The sequence below is a fragment of the Homo sapiens genome, chromosome 5, assembly GCF_000001405.40.
Source record: "Homo sapiens chromosome 5, GRCh38.p14 Primary Assembly".
NCBI lineage: Eukaryota > Metazoa > Chordata > Mammalia > Primates > Hominidae > Homo > Homo sapiens.
This window is the reverse complement of record NC_000005.10, coordinates 83,573,645-83,589,753: the sequence shown is the minus strand read 5'-3', so window position 1 is coordinate 83,589,753 and position 16,109 is coordinate 83,573,645. Positions and strand designations below refer to the sequence as shown.

Sequence of the window (16,109 nt, the reverse complement as noted above, 5' to 3'; positions counted from 1 at the left end):
AATGAACAGGTGTTACTCAGCTAATAAATTAACAATAACAACAAAGGAGCAAGGACATAATTTAGCACATATCTAAAGTGTTTTCATGGTGTGTAATGGAGAGAGTTATGATTTAGGTAATATTCAATAAGTAGTAATTGCCTATGCTATTTTCAGCCTAGATGCATATTTTCCAGTTTTAGCACAATGGTCCATTCATTCTCAGTTGTTTCAGCATCTCTCGTCCTTTGGTCTAATCTCTATCCTGAACTTCCTCCTTTGTGGATAAGCAGGGCTGTTATTTTTGTATTTTCAAACCTTCATTTAAATAAAAATAATTCTAAGTTTGTTTCCTTCTTATAAAATCAGAAATTCCCAAGCCCCTCACTAACATTTGTCCTTTTGGTAGCGAGCTTCCAATGTTTCTTGGTGTTCCATGTAACCTATCTACTGTGTTGACGTGAATGCTTTATAGTATTTCTATTTTCCTCAACTCTGTACGCTAAATGTTGCACTTACCATTCTCTTCTTTCCTCCTTTCATAATCAGAGCATCACTGAATCCCAAAGCCTGCTTTTTAATGGTATGTTTTGGCTCAACCTAGATTAGTATAGCCTCTAAAATCCCTGTTTCTTTCCTCAATCTTTTTCCAAAACAATGATATTGTTGTTTTACTCTCATTCTTCTGGAATTACTTTACTAATTTTCTATTCTATTTTTTCCCCATCATTGGAACTAACTTTCTTCTACTTCTTTTGCTGCGTTACTTTTATTTTCTTTGCTTATTATGTTCATTAACAATTTTCCTAATCACTTTTTTGAACGACATATCCTTATCCAAAATGAAATTATCTGTTAATTTACCTCATGTTTAAGGAGAAGATACTCAAAGTTAAAAGTCAAAATATTGCCACATATTAAGCAATGAAGATACTACTTATAAGAAAGCCTGAATAATATAGATATTCCCAAATTTAGTTTTAAGAAGTTGCACTTCCCTTTATCACTAAAACAGCATTCCCCAAAACACACGTTACCTGCCAAAAATTTAAAAATCATATCAGGCCCCTCTCACAAAATATTCTTGGCACATTTTGTTGAGGAACGCTGCCCTACTCCATCAATTGCCCTGCATATCACTCTGACCCCAGCCAGCCTTCGCATACCAGGCATGTGATTCCCAACCATCTTTATCTGGCTTACCAAGACTGCTGCTGATCTATTATTGCTCTACCCTACACAGATGAAGCCATGGTCCATGTCTTAGTTCTGAAAAGCATAGTCAAGACTTAACCAAATTATCCTGAGAATTTAAGGAAATGTAAAGAATTCTAACACAACCAAGCCACACTTAATACAGTGTACTTTATTGGACTACTTCCAGAGTTTATAGGCCTCTGCACAGATCTCTAGGAGAGGTTTCTCTTGATTTCAGCACATCTGCCACCATGTTGCTGGAATCAGCTTTCCTCTTCAACACAGAAAGCCTCTGCCAAGAATTTTTCATGCCCTGGAATCAAGACCCCAGAGAAAACGAACAGAATATGTATTAAAGTTTAATCTAAAAGATACAACACTTTGTATGAGAAGAAAACAACATCTACTTTTTAATGCAGAGCAGCTCAGCTTCTCCTTTTACCAATTCATCCCGAAGTATGAGCTTGGTCTTAAATTTGTGTAACTTGAAGACGTCCCCCGGAATGACTTCTCCAAAAACCAGAGGGAAAAATTCATCTCTGAAAGATAAAGGCATACTTCTATCCAAAGAAACGAAATCTGTTGGCAGGTTTAAAATAGCAATGTCTTCCTCCCTTCTCATCCTACTTTCTCAGTGGGTAACCAAAAAGTTTCAAAGATATTGGGGTTTAGTCTCAGAGAAACTTGTTATGCACCTATATAACTTCACTCCTACTCTTTTTTTTTCCTCCTAAGTATAAAACAAGCATTGAAAGCTGACCTTGATTGTGAACTCAAGTTGAGGAGTAATACATTTTGTTTTGGAAATTTAAGCCAGAAAACACAAAGTTCAGACCAAGAAGTCTGTAGTGTGGCCATGTTTATGCATAGCCGAGGCAGAAAAATGGCTGGCAGTTGCAACAATCACATGCTTTGTGTTTAATGGTTACAAGAAAGGAATTAAGGCTATAACCTCATATAAGTACACAATAAGATGCCATAGAAGCAACCCAAGGGAACCAGTGTGCAAGCTTCCAGACTGCAATGTAGCATGCCTATCCTATGAATGAAATGAATGGGGTTACTTCCATAATTTCCCCTGAAGAAATGCATCAAATAACACTGTCAGCCAAGAATCCAACAGGAAACAGATGACACAATCAAATAAAATTAGTCAAAGAGTGTTTAATAAAGGGATTTACAAAAGCGAGAAGCTTAAGGAAATCACAGTTCATAATACAGTATCTATGGAGCCAAAAACAGTGGAGAGCTCTTGCTAGACCGGTCCTGAAAGGTCTTATGAGGAGCTGTGGAACCAGGAGGCAAAGAGGGCTCTGTGGAGACTGCTGCCCAGGAGGATCTAATAACTTTATTATAGAGTACCACCAGCCCATGGCAATCCCACAGGATTGGGAGGAGCCAAGTGGCTACACACTGATATAGAGTTATCCTCTCTGGTTCTGATTTCCTGCAATGCTCTCTATGGCTGAACCCAATAGGAGCAATCTATACAGTCAGTATCTCAGAGCACAGAGCAGAAGGGTGTAGAGTGTACCTGGAAAGACACACCTATGTCTTACTCAGTCAAATAGCAGTTTTAATCTTCCATTTTTGCCTCCCATACAATTGCTACAAAGAGAGTCTGACATTTGATCAGAGACTTAACAGGAAACCAAACTGATCTAATTAAATAAAAACATTAGAACTTAAATTTGATAGTTGTTCCACTTACGATTTCTAAATCAAGACCTGAAATCAAATAGTTTGGTTTTTTTTTTTTCACAGCATTTTGCAGAATATTAGATTGGACAAGTAGGTAAGGTCTCTGCATATGAAATTAGATTCTATTTTGTAGGCATTAAGTTCTGAAGAATTCTGTGCTGGGGAATGCCAAGCTCTGATTTGCACATTTTAAAGAATACTCTGCAGTAGTTTGAAAGGTAATTTGGAAAGCAGTGTGTCTAGAGATAGTAAAGCTATTTAAGATATTGGATAGAGAGAAGAGAATGGATATGAGAAGGCTTTGGAGGTAGAATTATAGAATTTGGCAATTGATTGAATATGGGCATTAAATTAGAAGCCAGAATGACTCTTAGACTACTAGTTATAAAAAAAATGGTTGGGGGAGAGAGAGAGATAATAGTTCAACTTGAAAGATAAAGCTCTTTATGTGCCTATAGAATCCAACCAACTGGACATGGAAGTAATCCTGTAGGGATTTAAGCCAGTTATGAATGGAATCAGGCAAAGATGGAGAGTGGAAAAAAAAGAGATGGTCAAGAGCAGAGGCTTTTGCATTTTGAGAAATCAGACTGCTCCTACTTTAATGCCATTGCTAATCTTTCTCATCAGACTGTAAGCTCCCTAAAAACAGAAACTCAGCTAATCTTGTTTATAACAGTATCCCCAGCACCTAACAGAGTGCCCTGGAACCTGATAAGTGCTCAATATGTATTATTATATGAAAAATGGGTTTAATCTGGCTAATGAACATAGGAGAGGGTGAGATGTTCTGGGAACTGAAGCAATGTAGAGATCAATCCACTCCAAAGGATTCTCCCACCTAGGCCTCTTTTAGGGCTCATCATTGAATTTGAGGTTCCTTTTCCTGGTTTGCTCTTGAAGAGAAATTACAATATATCTTCTTTGCTTTTATTTCTGTTTTTAAATTTCTCTTAATTCCTACACTTAAAACTTTGTATCAGGTCTTTAAGAAATTAATATTTTTAATCATGCTGCTTTATTCGTTTTTTCCTGTAAAGAAAACCTTTCTCATTTTTTTCTTTAAAACCAGAGGCCCATTAAAAGGTTGGAAAGTAATCACCACCAGACTGGTAGAACACATGCTCACAAATATGGACAGATGATGTACTAAAAATCAGAAAGCACTTTAAGGACTCTGTATCTTAAAGCAGCTTTCTCCAAACCAGGGGAAAACTTAATGTACTCCTAGGGTAGTATGCCTACTGTGTGAGTGCCCTAAGACTTTCCAAGGGATACATAAAAGTGAAGCCATTTCCAGAACTTTAATTTCCACCTAGAGGCTTTTCTAAAACTCATCTGCCTAGGGAGGTGTCTGTGGTGGAGGCTCCTGCTTCTGCTTTTGCATCCCCCTTTATGCCAGTTCTCATACACCTTAGAATGCATGAGAAGCACCGGAGTGCCTGCGAAAACCCATACTGCTGTCCCCACTCCCATAATCTCTCATTCAGTAGGGTAAGGTCTGAGGATTTGCATTTTTCACAAGTTCCTGGGTGAAACTAATGCTGTTGTTCCAAGGAACAAAGTTTGAGGACCAATACTTCAGACAATTGCTCCTTTTCTACTTTATTTAAAAAAAAAAAACAACCACTAAATGAAACATCTCTTATCCATTCTGAGTCTTAGGATACATTGCCATGGAATGCAAGAATTAGGACAAGTAAGAGACAATTCACACTGAATAATTCTGATGCCAGTGTGACAAATCCTTTTTCAAACCAAGTGTTTATTTAAAAAAAAAATTAAGGAGGACTTGACATGTCAGCTGAGAGGTAATTTGAAAATAACTTTTGATAGATCACTGTGATTTTTGGCATATAACAGAAATTGCTTTAAAAATTGAGTAGCAGTGCACAATAAAACTATCATTTTCATCTACTTATGTAAACAGATTTTCTCGGTATTTACATCTATCAAACAAAATGAGAGTGAAATGTGCTAAGCCATGCCACATTCTAGTTTTAAGGAATATTTCCCTACGGAAATGTGAATTGGGAAAAACAGCCCTAATCATCTCATTAAGACATATTTCCAACAAAATTTTTACAATTTGTATAATCTTTCACATGTTACGATAGCTTTATATTGTTTTGATCAATTGTATATTAGTAAACTACAAAAATAACTTGGTCCAGGAAAATTTTAGTTTATAGGATTATGTTCACAAGGAAAAAAGAATTTAAACTTTAAAGTACAAATTTTGATGTACTTAAGTTTGATGGCTTAATCAATAGAAGACTTCTAAGCATATAACTATATAATTTTTGATAACATTCCGTAAGAGGAACTTAAATTTTAGAATTAGTCCAACGAAAACAAAAATATAAAATTTTTGACTCTTAATAAAAGACTACTTTTAAAAGAATGATGTAAGAGGTCAAACCACTATGATATTTAGATTCCACTGAATATATCCTGAAAGTGATATTACATGCTTATTTTAGAATGACAATATTTAAAATAGGTCAAAAATTACATCCTCTATAGTTGTATAACTTTATGATGAAAAAAAATTTTGTTGACAACTTAAAATGTGAGAGGTACATAGTTTTTAAAATTTTTAAATAAATACTATCAAAAATAATTTAAGACTTACTGCCTAAGGCAGTAAACTTTTAATCTTCAACAGGGATCATTTGATGGACTCAGACAGAACTCTGAATTAAATTCCAATTAAAACCCAGGCTTTGCTTATTCTGTAAACACCTCAACAAAACCATTCTTGTTCTATTTTGGCATTTGCTCTTTCTTGTCCAGCTGGGATCTAAACATACAGAAATGAGTAATAATGGGAAAAGATTATACAATCTTGAATGACTCACTCAAGGACCTTTATAAATGTTCTGTTTAGACTTGTTTCAGAAAAGAATCATTTGGATGAATTCTGATTTGTTTAGAGAAAATGCAAGTTGCAATACAGTAAAAAGAAAGATGCACCAATATCAGTGCTAACATATCACTGCCAACCTTTTTTTTTTCAGAAACAATTTCACTGCATTTCTAATATTAAGAAACATAAAAGGAAACACTTTACAAATGTTGTATTCATCACTGAGTCTTTAGCCACTTGATAATAACATCTTTTTCCCTTATCTAGAATATATTCTCTCATAGATCCTTTTCATGGGAAATAGTCATGCACAAAATTAACCCGGAACTTTTTTACAACTACTTTATTTTTTTCTGTTTATTTGCAAACTCTGTGAGTTTATTGTACATGATATATGATTTCCGGGCAAATAGCTTGTGGCTAATTCAGTTCCTACTCTTGGTACTTTATTGAAAATTTACTTAAGATCAGCAAAGGTCTACTTACCATCACATTAAAATGATGCACCTCTCCCTATACAATCTCTCTTACCTCTTTAGTAATACAGCTACCCTGGAAGACCACCTCTTCTTAAATAGCCCCCAACGCAGGGGCACATTCTTCCCTCTGATATGCCACTTAACCTTTAAAAATGGACAAAGAACCACTTCTTGCTGCCTTTGACTAGTGTAAGTCTTTTTTAATGTCTCACTCTGTCCCAGTATTCTGTTCATCCCACAGATTCTGTTATTTGTACCTAGATCCACCAATAATCTCAGAAGGCTATATATGCACAATTATTATAAATTCTTATATATTCCCTTGGATCATATTTAAATTCTATGTAAAAGATATGACAGAGTGCACACTAAAAGGACAAGCTCAGAAAGGAAAATAATCTCTTCTCTTCCACACTTATTCATGCCAAACTCCCTGTATATTTTTGACATTTCTAGAAAGAACCTTAAAATAATTTTCAGCTCACCTTTGACCTTTATATCTTTGATATAACTTTGGAGCATAAAATGTATTGGTTCTTCCAGATTATCAATAAAGATACTGAATAGAATGGGTTCTATGATAATTTCCATGGGATGCAGCCAGTATAAAAACTTTATGTGGGCAGAAACCTGTCTACCGCATCCACTGGTGAATCTTCAGAGCCTATTACGGTGCCTGGCACACATTAAATCCTTAAATAATGAATGAATGAAAACTGAAGGAACGGATGGATATCTGAATGGGTGATAACCTCTTAAATGCATAACAATCAGGGATATAATATTTTACATTTTTCTTGGAAATTCTGTGTGGGCTGTAGGGATTACCTGCTTCTGCTACACACTAACTGCATGATTTTGGACAAATAACGAGCCCTCTATGCCCGATCCCTTATCAGTCAGTAATGATGACCCCTGTTTCATAAGCTTGTTATGATATATTACATGTAAAATACTTGCCTTGGTTCATAGGAAGATTTCTGTGATGTGAGCTATCACTTTTCCCATTGCATAGTTTCCATATTTGAAATTAATACATAGTATTCAGATGAAAACATTATCAGAATTATTATCGCAACTTTTACGGGTAAATATATAATCATTTCTTTGCTTGCCACAAAATCATTTCATCCAGGTTAGAAGCTTGCTCTCCATGATGGAACCAGAATGTAAAAATGTTGGTGCACATAAGGATTTAAAGTTGTAAATAACCAGACCAGTCACAGTGTAGTAAAAGAAGGATTTTAGGTTTCTTTGGTGAAACAAAAGCAGATATAAAAAGTTACAAAGATTTTAGATTTTCATTCACAAAAAAAGTCATTCACATTTTACACTATACACGTTATGATATAAATACAGGAAAGTATTATGTGCATTGTAAAGAGAAAGGAAAAATAGAAACCTACTAGATCAACACAGTGTTGTTCTGTGCTCTAAAATACCTAAAGGTGGATTACATTTAATGCAACAACCAAGGGAACCTGCTTAAACATACTGTGTATTATTGTAGCTAGAGTCATTCCTTCTAAGCCAAAGGAGGTTTTATAAAAAAAGAATCAATATTGGGCCAATCCCTTTGTGCCCTTTTTCTCTTTTTCTATGTGCATTTTATTTTTTGTCTACTCTTCTTCAAGTTGCTCTAAACTGAAATTAGGGAAGGAGTCTTACTTTCCATTACAGGTTTTTCTTTAAACATTAAATTAAGTGGATAAGGATTCAAAGTCATCTTCAGCAGTCACTTTATTCAAATAATGGGGAGAAAACAGAGTGGGAAGAGATGGGGAGAAATGTCAACACATACACTCCACCTAACAGGAAGAAATGCCCACACTATTTCTATATATTCGCTCATTTCTTAGAATGGGCAAACACCTTTTGCTAAAAGCTATATACTTTTCCACTCTTTTCATAATAAACACTTGATGCATTCTATCCGTCACATTATTTAATCAGGGACAAAGTACCTATATTATATGATTCCAAATTGTGTGAGGAAAGTAAAAGGCTAACACTGAAAAATAACTAGCATACTATGTTCATTTTCAGGTCTTAGGGAAAATAACATCCAATAAATTAAATCAGTATGGCTTACTTCATTTATTTATGTATGCTTCACAGCTGCAGCATTCATACATGAACATTCAAAACTTTATAAAAGATTAAAATGGTTATATATACAAAATTTCTTTTTTTTTTTTTTTTTTTTTTTTTGCATGTGTTTTAACAATCCCCCACCCTCCAGAGCCCTAGGTCTATATCCGTATGAAATGCATTGATCGGTAACCTTATGAGTTAGTGTTATGAAAGCCATTAAAAAGTAGACCTGGTTGAGTTAATTATTAGCACTTTGACCCCTAAAAAATGTTCCTGGTTACAGAAAAGTCCTCCATTCAGGCCTTTCTTGTAAGTGAAGAAAAAGGAATGCAGCAAAGAAGAGTTCGACATTGGAGTCCTTAGTTCCATCAGGATCCCATTCGCAGCCTTTAGCATCATGTAGAAGCAAACTGCACCTATGGCTGAGATAGGTGCAATGACCTACAAGATTTTGTGTTTTCTAGCTGTCCAGGAAAAGCCATCTTCAGTCTTGCTGACAGTCAAAGAGCAAGTGAAACCATTTCCAGCCTAAACTACATAAAAGCAGCCGAACCAATGATTAAAGACCTCTAAGGCTCCATAATCATCATTAAATATGCCCAAACTCATTGTGACTTTTTATTTTATATACAGGATTAAAATCAACATTAAATCATCTTATTTACATGGCCATCGGTGCTGAAATTGAGCATTTTAAATAGTACAGTAGGCTGGTATACATTAGGAAATGGACTGCACTGGAGGCAAATAGAAAACTAAAGAAATTAGATAGGCTGGAAATGCTTACTTTCTGCTCTCATTTTCTTTCATTTTGTCTGCTGTCTTTTTGAATGCCAATACTTTCATTTAAAATGTTTTGGGAGCACGGCAACCCAAAATGACTGAACGGTGGTCCAAAAATCCAAACCAACTGATAATTACTTCTCGAGGTGATAGGAAAGGCACAGGAAGTTAGGACTTTGGCTGAAATGATGAAAACACATGTTCGCCATTTTAGGGATCAGCGCCTCGACTCCTGCCACCTCCGGCTCCAACGATGATCATGTTTGGATGTATTTATTGAATTGTCCTTTGCTGATGAGGAATTTTTAAAGTATTTCATAGAATAAGTCCTTTGGTATGCAGATGCTACATGGAAGGAAAGAAAGAAAAAAAGAAAACACACAATATTACTTGCTCCATACCCTAAACTGCCGATACCACAGCCGTAAAATGAAGGTGTCTAGTAGTTGTTATAGCACGGTAGTCCATTCTTTCTAAAGGACCACTTACGGTTCATGCAGGTAATTTTAGGTATAGCCCATCTTCCATTTCCTAAGCACCGGATAGTTGGAAGGTGACGTTGAATGAAACCATCTTTGCAGTGGTATCTAATCAGGGAGTTGATTTCATAACGAGGTTTCATCTTTCCAAAGGTCTTGGCATTTTCTACAACAGGGGGCTGGCCGCAAGCGACTAAAGGAAAGCAAATTGGGTTATTTCCAAATAATCTAAGTATTTCAACTAATATGAGTCTCTTATTTTTCTCTCTTTCTTTATGGTACCAAAGTAAGCAACTTCATCAAAGGCAATCTTTTAGAATTAAGAATATGAAATTTTTCAAAAAGAAAATGTAATGTTGAGGCTCTGGGCCTACTTTGAATCTCAGATTATGCCATCTTGAAATTTGTTTTATTAAAACAACCATAGGACTAAATGGTCATACATTCATCTACCCCTCTGGAAGGGCCACTATTCTGACAAAATTTCCAAATTAAAAAGCATACTGTCTTCATCACCGTCCCTAAGTTTTTATTTCTTAATTACCTTCACTTGGGACAATAATGAATTTAACTATTACTATTACCTCCTTATAAAAACGTACAATCTACAGGCCAGGCACAGTGGCTTATGCCTGTAATCCCAGCACTTTGGGAGGCCAAGCGGGGTGGATCACGAGATCAAGAGATTAAGACCATCCTGGCCAACATGGTGAAACCCTGTTTCTACTAAAAATACAAAAAATTAGCCAGGCATGGTGGTGGGCACCTGTAGTCCCAGCTACTCGGGAGGCTTAGGCAGGAGAATCACTTGAACCTGGGAGGCGGAGGTTGCAGTGAGCCGAGATTGCACCACTGCACTCCAGCCTCGTGACAGAGCAAGACTGTGTCTCAAAAACAAAACAAAACAAAACAAAACAAACAAACAAACAAACAAACAAAAAACCTTACAATCTACAATAACATCATAGTTTTGAAATATGGACAAAGTCTCCTAAATACAAATATCTTTTGGTTCCATTTATATTTATTTGCTCTTTTTTGTCTTCTGTATTGAGACAAGAAAAAGAGACCATAATATTCATGCCTGAGTTTCATAAATACCTTAATGAATATAAATTAAAACTCCTGAGACAGGCAAATGAGGGTAAAGCTTGGAATTCTTAACCATCATTTTAAATTTACAATGAAAAATTTTGTAATTTTGAATTTTAAAAAAATCCAAAAGCTTGGAAAATTGATTTAATTGAATTTGTGTTAACATAGTTTTATTCAACATTAGCACACTTATTTTAAATGATATGCTTTAAAAAAATGAACTTTGATTAAATTATTATATTTACCTATATATCTTTAATACAAATGTAACTTAAATATAATTTTCCCTAAGTGGAAATTTCTATTGCTTAAGAATTCTTACACCACAGGCCCACAAAAACATGCCACATTCTCTCATGAAATATTGCAAATATTCAGTGGGAAAATGATTACCAGAAACCTTGGTACCAAATATTTGAATGTCAACATCCTAATATTAAAAGTTTACAATTATTAAATTTATTACATATTCAGAGGACTGTTTACAACCATATCCTTCTGCAATGACAAATTTTGGTTTAATTTAAATGTTTGGTTCTTCTAATTTACTTCTGCTTGACCTCAATCTGGATACCTGCACACTTTTTTTTTTAACTTTTAAGTTCAGGGGTAAATGTGTAGGCTTGTTATATAGCTAAACTCATGTCACAGGGGTTTGTTTTACAGATTATTTTGTCACCCAGGTACTAAGCCTAATACCCAACAGTTATTTTTCTAATCTTCTCCCTCCTCCCATCCTCCACCCTCAAGTAGGCCCCAGTGTCTGTTTTTCCCCTCTTTGTGTCCTTATGTTCTCAGTGTTTAGCTCTCACTTATAAGTGAAAATACGCAGTATTTGGTTTTCTGTTCCTGTGTTAGTTTGCTAAGGATGATGACCTCCAGCTCCATCCATGTTCCTGCAAGGGACATGATCTCATTCCTTTTTATGGCTGCATCGTATTCCATGGTGCACACTTCTTTTATTGCAATATGGAAAGCCTATACTAGGGTCCAGACAATAGCAAGTATCAGATGGAATAAGACCAAAGTGATAGGGAAGGTTAAAAATGATCAATTCAATAATTCAATGTACTTGATTTGGTGCTATGCTAACAAATTTGAACTCATTTTTATAATTTTGAGGAAATAATTGTATAGATTTCTTCTAAAACTAAATATGAAGACTTATTAAAAAGCTATAATAATTCAGTGAGTGTGGTATTGGCAAGGACAGGAAAATAGACCAGAAAGAGATTTACACACATATGCTTGATATTTGAAAGAGGCAACATGGCAGAGCAGAGGGAAAGTGTAGTCTTTTCATTTGAACACTTGTGTATTCATACAGAAATAATAAACTTGGTTCCATACTTCAGAAAAGACATTAAAAATCAATTCTAGATGGTTGAAATATATAAATATAAGAGGCAAAACTATAAAACATTTAGAAACTATAGAATATCTTTATGACTTCAGGATAGTGTCAACCAAAATTAAGGCTGTTGAGGCAGAAATAATTTGATAAAGGCTTATTGGAAGCCAAATGCCAGGATCTACCTGGGAAGACACACCACAAATTTGGGCATATTCCAGAATCTGCTACAAGTTGGAAGGTTTTTATGGGGAAGTTCAGAAGGGAGGGCAACTCCTCAGACCCGAGTTGTGATTTTCATTGGAGGGTACAATACAGAGGTTATAATCATTGGCTACGATTTACAAAATACAAGCTAAAATGCTCTATGTGCAAAACAATCAGTAAAACTTCAGGATTCAGAAACAAATCAGTGTTTTTCCACTGTCAGTAGGCTACATATTAATCAGTATGTCAACAGTTTAAGGAATTCATGATAAGATTTGAGGAACTCACGATAAAATTGTTTACTCAGGGACAGGATGTAAGCCATGAATCATAAGACCTCCCCCAGGCGGATTAATTTGGAAGCCTGCCAATGTGACCTGTAGGTTATCAGTAGGTAAAGATTTCTTAAAACACAAAAAAGATTAGATCATAAAGGAAAAAAAATAAATAAAATTAAGGATTCTGTTCATCAGAAAATATCATAAGGTAAGGGTGAAGTCAAGCAACAAACTGGGAGAAGATATTTGCAACATATAAAATTGTCAAGGGATTAGTAACCAGAATATAAAAAGAACTCCTACAAATTAGTATGTATAAGATTATAAGTAAACAATTTTCAAAAATAACCAAAAGATATGAACAGAAACTTTACAAAAGCAGAGCTTCAAGTGATTGATAAATATATGAAAAGATATTCAGAGAGACGTATCAAAAAATGTGAATTAAGTCACAAGAGATTACATTTTATACCCACCAGATTGGCAAAAATTTCAAAGTCCAATAGTGCCAAATGTTGGAGAAGATGTAGAGCAACAGGATCTATCACAGATTGTTGGTGGGAGTGAAAATTGGTACCACCACTTTGGAAAAAAATTTGGCTTTTTAAAGTAGATTTTATGGTACATATATCCTATGACTCAGCAACTTCACTCCTGGAAATATATCCTACAGAAACTCACAAAAGTTGACCAAGAACAAGTTCAAGAATGCTCATAGAAACATTGTTTATAAAAGCAAAAACACCGAATATGACTCAAGCGTCCACTGACAGGAGAATTGATAAGTAAAATGTTGTATAGTTATACAAGAAATACAATACAGAAACAAAAACAAAGAACATGCCATTACATGCATCAACATGAATAAATCTCACAAACATAATGCTGAACAAAAAAAAGAGCAAAGCACAGAATATATACAGTATGATCCCACTTATTTAAAGTTCAAAAATGTACAACACTAAATAATTTATTGTTTAGTGAAACAAGTGTATATCATAATAGAAAAGGGAAAAGCAAGGGAATTAAGTCATTATCTCTGGTGGGAGTTGAGAAGTAAATAGATAGGATTGAGAGGAACCCACAGGATACTCCACAGATACATGGGCAGTATGCATTGAGGTGTTCTTTTAAAAAATATGCCTTTTGTATATATTATAAATCGTTACAAGTATGTAATAGTTAATTAAAAGGAAAACTACTTAGGTCTGTAGGTTTAAAATATCTAAAAAGAGAAAAGGGTATCTTTTTTAAAAGCCTATAAACATTTAAAAACTTCCCCAGAGTTCTGATTAGTAAAGAATTGACTGCACAAATATAAAAATCAGCGAGTAGGGGAGATAAAATGCAAAAATAGGGTTTTTTTCCTTCTTCTTCTTTAATGAGGTAGAACCAGTATTTTATAAAACTTGTTATCCATTGGGAAATGTAAACAATCATGGTGTTTTTGTGAATCTTTTTTGGTATAGGGCAGTGGTTCTCAACGTGGGACAGTTTGCCTCTTCTGGAGACATATGGCAATGTCTAGAGACATGTTTGCTTTTTACAATGCAGAAAGGATGTAAAGGTGCTACTGACATGTAGTATACAAAGGGCAGGGATTATGCTAAACATGCTTTAATGCACAGGATAGCCTCTCAAAATAAAGAATTATCTGACCAAAAATGTCAATAGCTCTGCTGTTGAGAAACCCTGCTATAGGAGAAAATAAAATAGGAAATGTAAGAATGTTTAAATCATAAAATGAAAAGTATGACTCCAGGGACCATTGGAGACATAAGAGGGCAAACATGACATTTGGATAGAGACGAATAATTTAGTAAAGATTCCTACACCGGAAAAAGAAAAATAGAAAATACTTGATTTGCTAGTTTTACAAATCTCATCGCAGAGGTGCTGAAGTAAGGGACATGGTCAGGAAAGCTTCTCATGTAGAAAAGGTATTGAGAATACATTCTACCTTGGGTGAGAAAACAGCAGACTAACGTACTTATTGCTAACAGCTGACTTTCATATGAGACTCGGGCTTGATGTATGTTAGTGTTCTCTTTCTTCTAATAGAATTTCTCATTATTGGGGTTTAAATCTTTCCTAAAATATTTATAGAGTATGGTTTTTAGTTTTATTATTTTTGTATTCAAAGACAAATTAATCAAATAGGTTTATATTTTACATGTGTACTTCGTACTCTTATTTGAGATGGGTAAAAGTCTGGGTCTAGGGATTAAATATTCATGTGATAACACCATTATTAATTGCAAATAGGTTAAAATATTTTACAGAATTTCTATTTGTTTAGGGAAAAAGTCTGTACAGCGTGCTTTAGAAATTGGCCAATGATAAACACACCTTTTAAAAAATTCGCTTTTAAAATATTTCTTGTTTAATGTTAACTAAACAATTCTCATAAAATTTATATTACACATGTTCTTATTTTATTATATCTTGTAAATATTCAACTACAGATATAAGGATGGCATTTGTGATCCATAGTTTATAAGCATAAAATAAACTTCTAAGGGAATGGTTAAAAAGCTCAAATGCCTACAGAGACCAGGCAGTTGGCAAAAACCGGTGACAATTATAATCCCAAAAGACATAATCTCAAAAGTCATAATCCCAAATTTTGAAATTCCTAAAGACCAAAATCCCTAGAGGTTAAAATCCCTAACATCTAAAGTCCCCAAAATCATAATTCTGAAATATTAAAATCCCAAATGTTGAAATCCTGAAAGCCAAATTCTAGGGAAGGGATTAGTGCATTTTTGGTTGTATGCAGGATAGTTATATCATGTCAGGAGAAATTATTATATTACCTTGTTATTGTCTTTATTTGGAAATTTAAATACGGTTTAAAAACATGCATATGGGTGCCAAGTTGCAAGGGGTAGACCTGTAGACTTAATTTTAGGTGTCAACATGACTGGATTAAGGAATACCTAGAAACCTAATAGAGCATTATTTGGGGCACGTCTCAGAGTGTTTCTAGAGAAGATTAATGTGTCAGCGTGAGTGGATGAGGTGGGGAAGATCTGCCCTCATTGTTGATGGGCACCATCCAATCAGCCAGGGGCCCAGAGAGAACAGATACAGAAGGCAAGCTGGTCTTTCTCTGAGAGCTGGGACAGACTTCTGCCACCATGGACATCAGAACTCCAGGCTCACTAGCCTTTGGATTCCAGGACTTACACACCAGAGGCCCCCCAGGTCTTGAGGCTTTCGGTCTCAGACTGAGAGTTACAGTACTGGCTTCAGCTTCCTTGGTTCTCAATATAAAAATATTGAAACTTCCTCAATAAATGAAGAGATGTTCTTTTATACATCTCCATTTATGAAAGATAAAATTTCTCAAGATCTCAGCTCTTTGAGTGACTGAATATGCGGTGGTAACCCATCTCAGTTCTTCATCAATCTTGTGAAAAGATTTATGTTGTTCATCATGGTATTTCAGATGACCACCGTTATAAAGCTGGTGCACACAATTACAACCAGAGTGATGTGCATTCATACATTTTGGTTTTTCCCCAACTGCCATTAGTATACCTGAGTGCTTATGCTTGAAAATATATGTATGTTTTTATTGTCTATTTATTTTAT

The 16,109-nt window shown here is 34.9% G+C and overlaps 1 protein-coding gene across 4 annotated transcripts in view; it reads right to left on the bottom strand.

Annotated features, from left to right (window-relative positions):
• Positions 7,452–16,109, bottom strand: part of VCAN (versican) — a 110,559-nt gene continuing 101,901 nt past the window's right edge. For all 4 annotated transcript variants that reach the window (NM_004385.5, NM_001164098.2, NM_001164097.2 and 1 more), the window contains 2 exons: positions 9,592–9,774; positions 7,452–9,447 (listed from right to left, as the gene is read on the bottom strand). In NM_004385.5, the coding sequence (NP_004376.2) occupies positions 9,320–9,447; positions 9,592–9,774 (311 nt within the window). In that variant the 3' untranslated portion in view covers positions 7,452–9,319. The remainder of the gene's footprint in view (positions 9,448–9,591; positions 9,775–16,109) is intronic.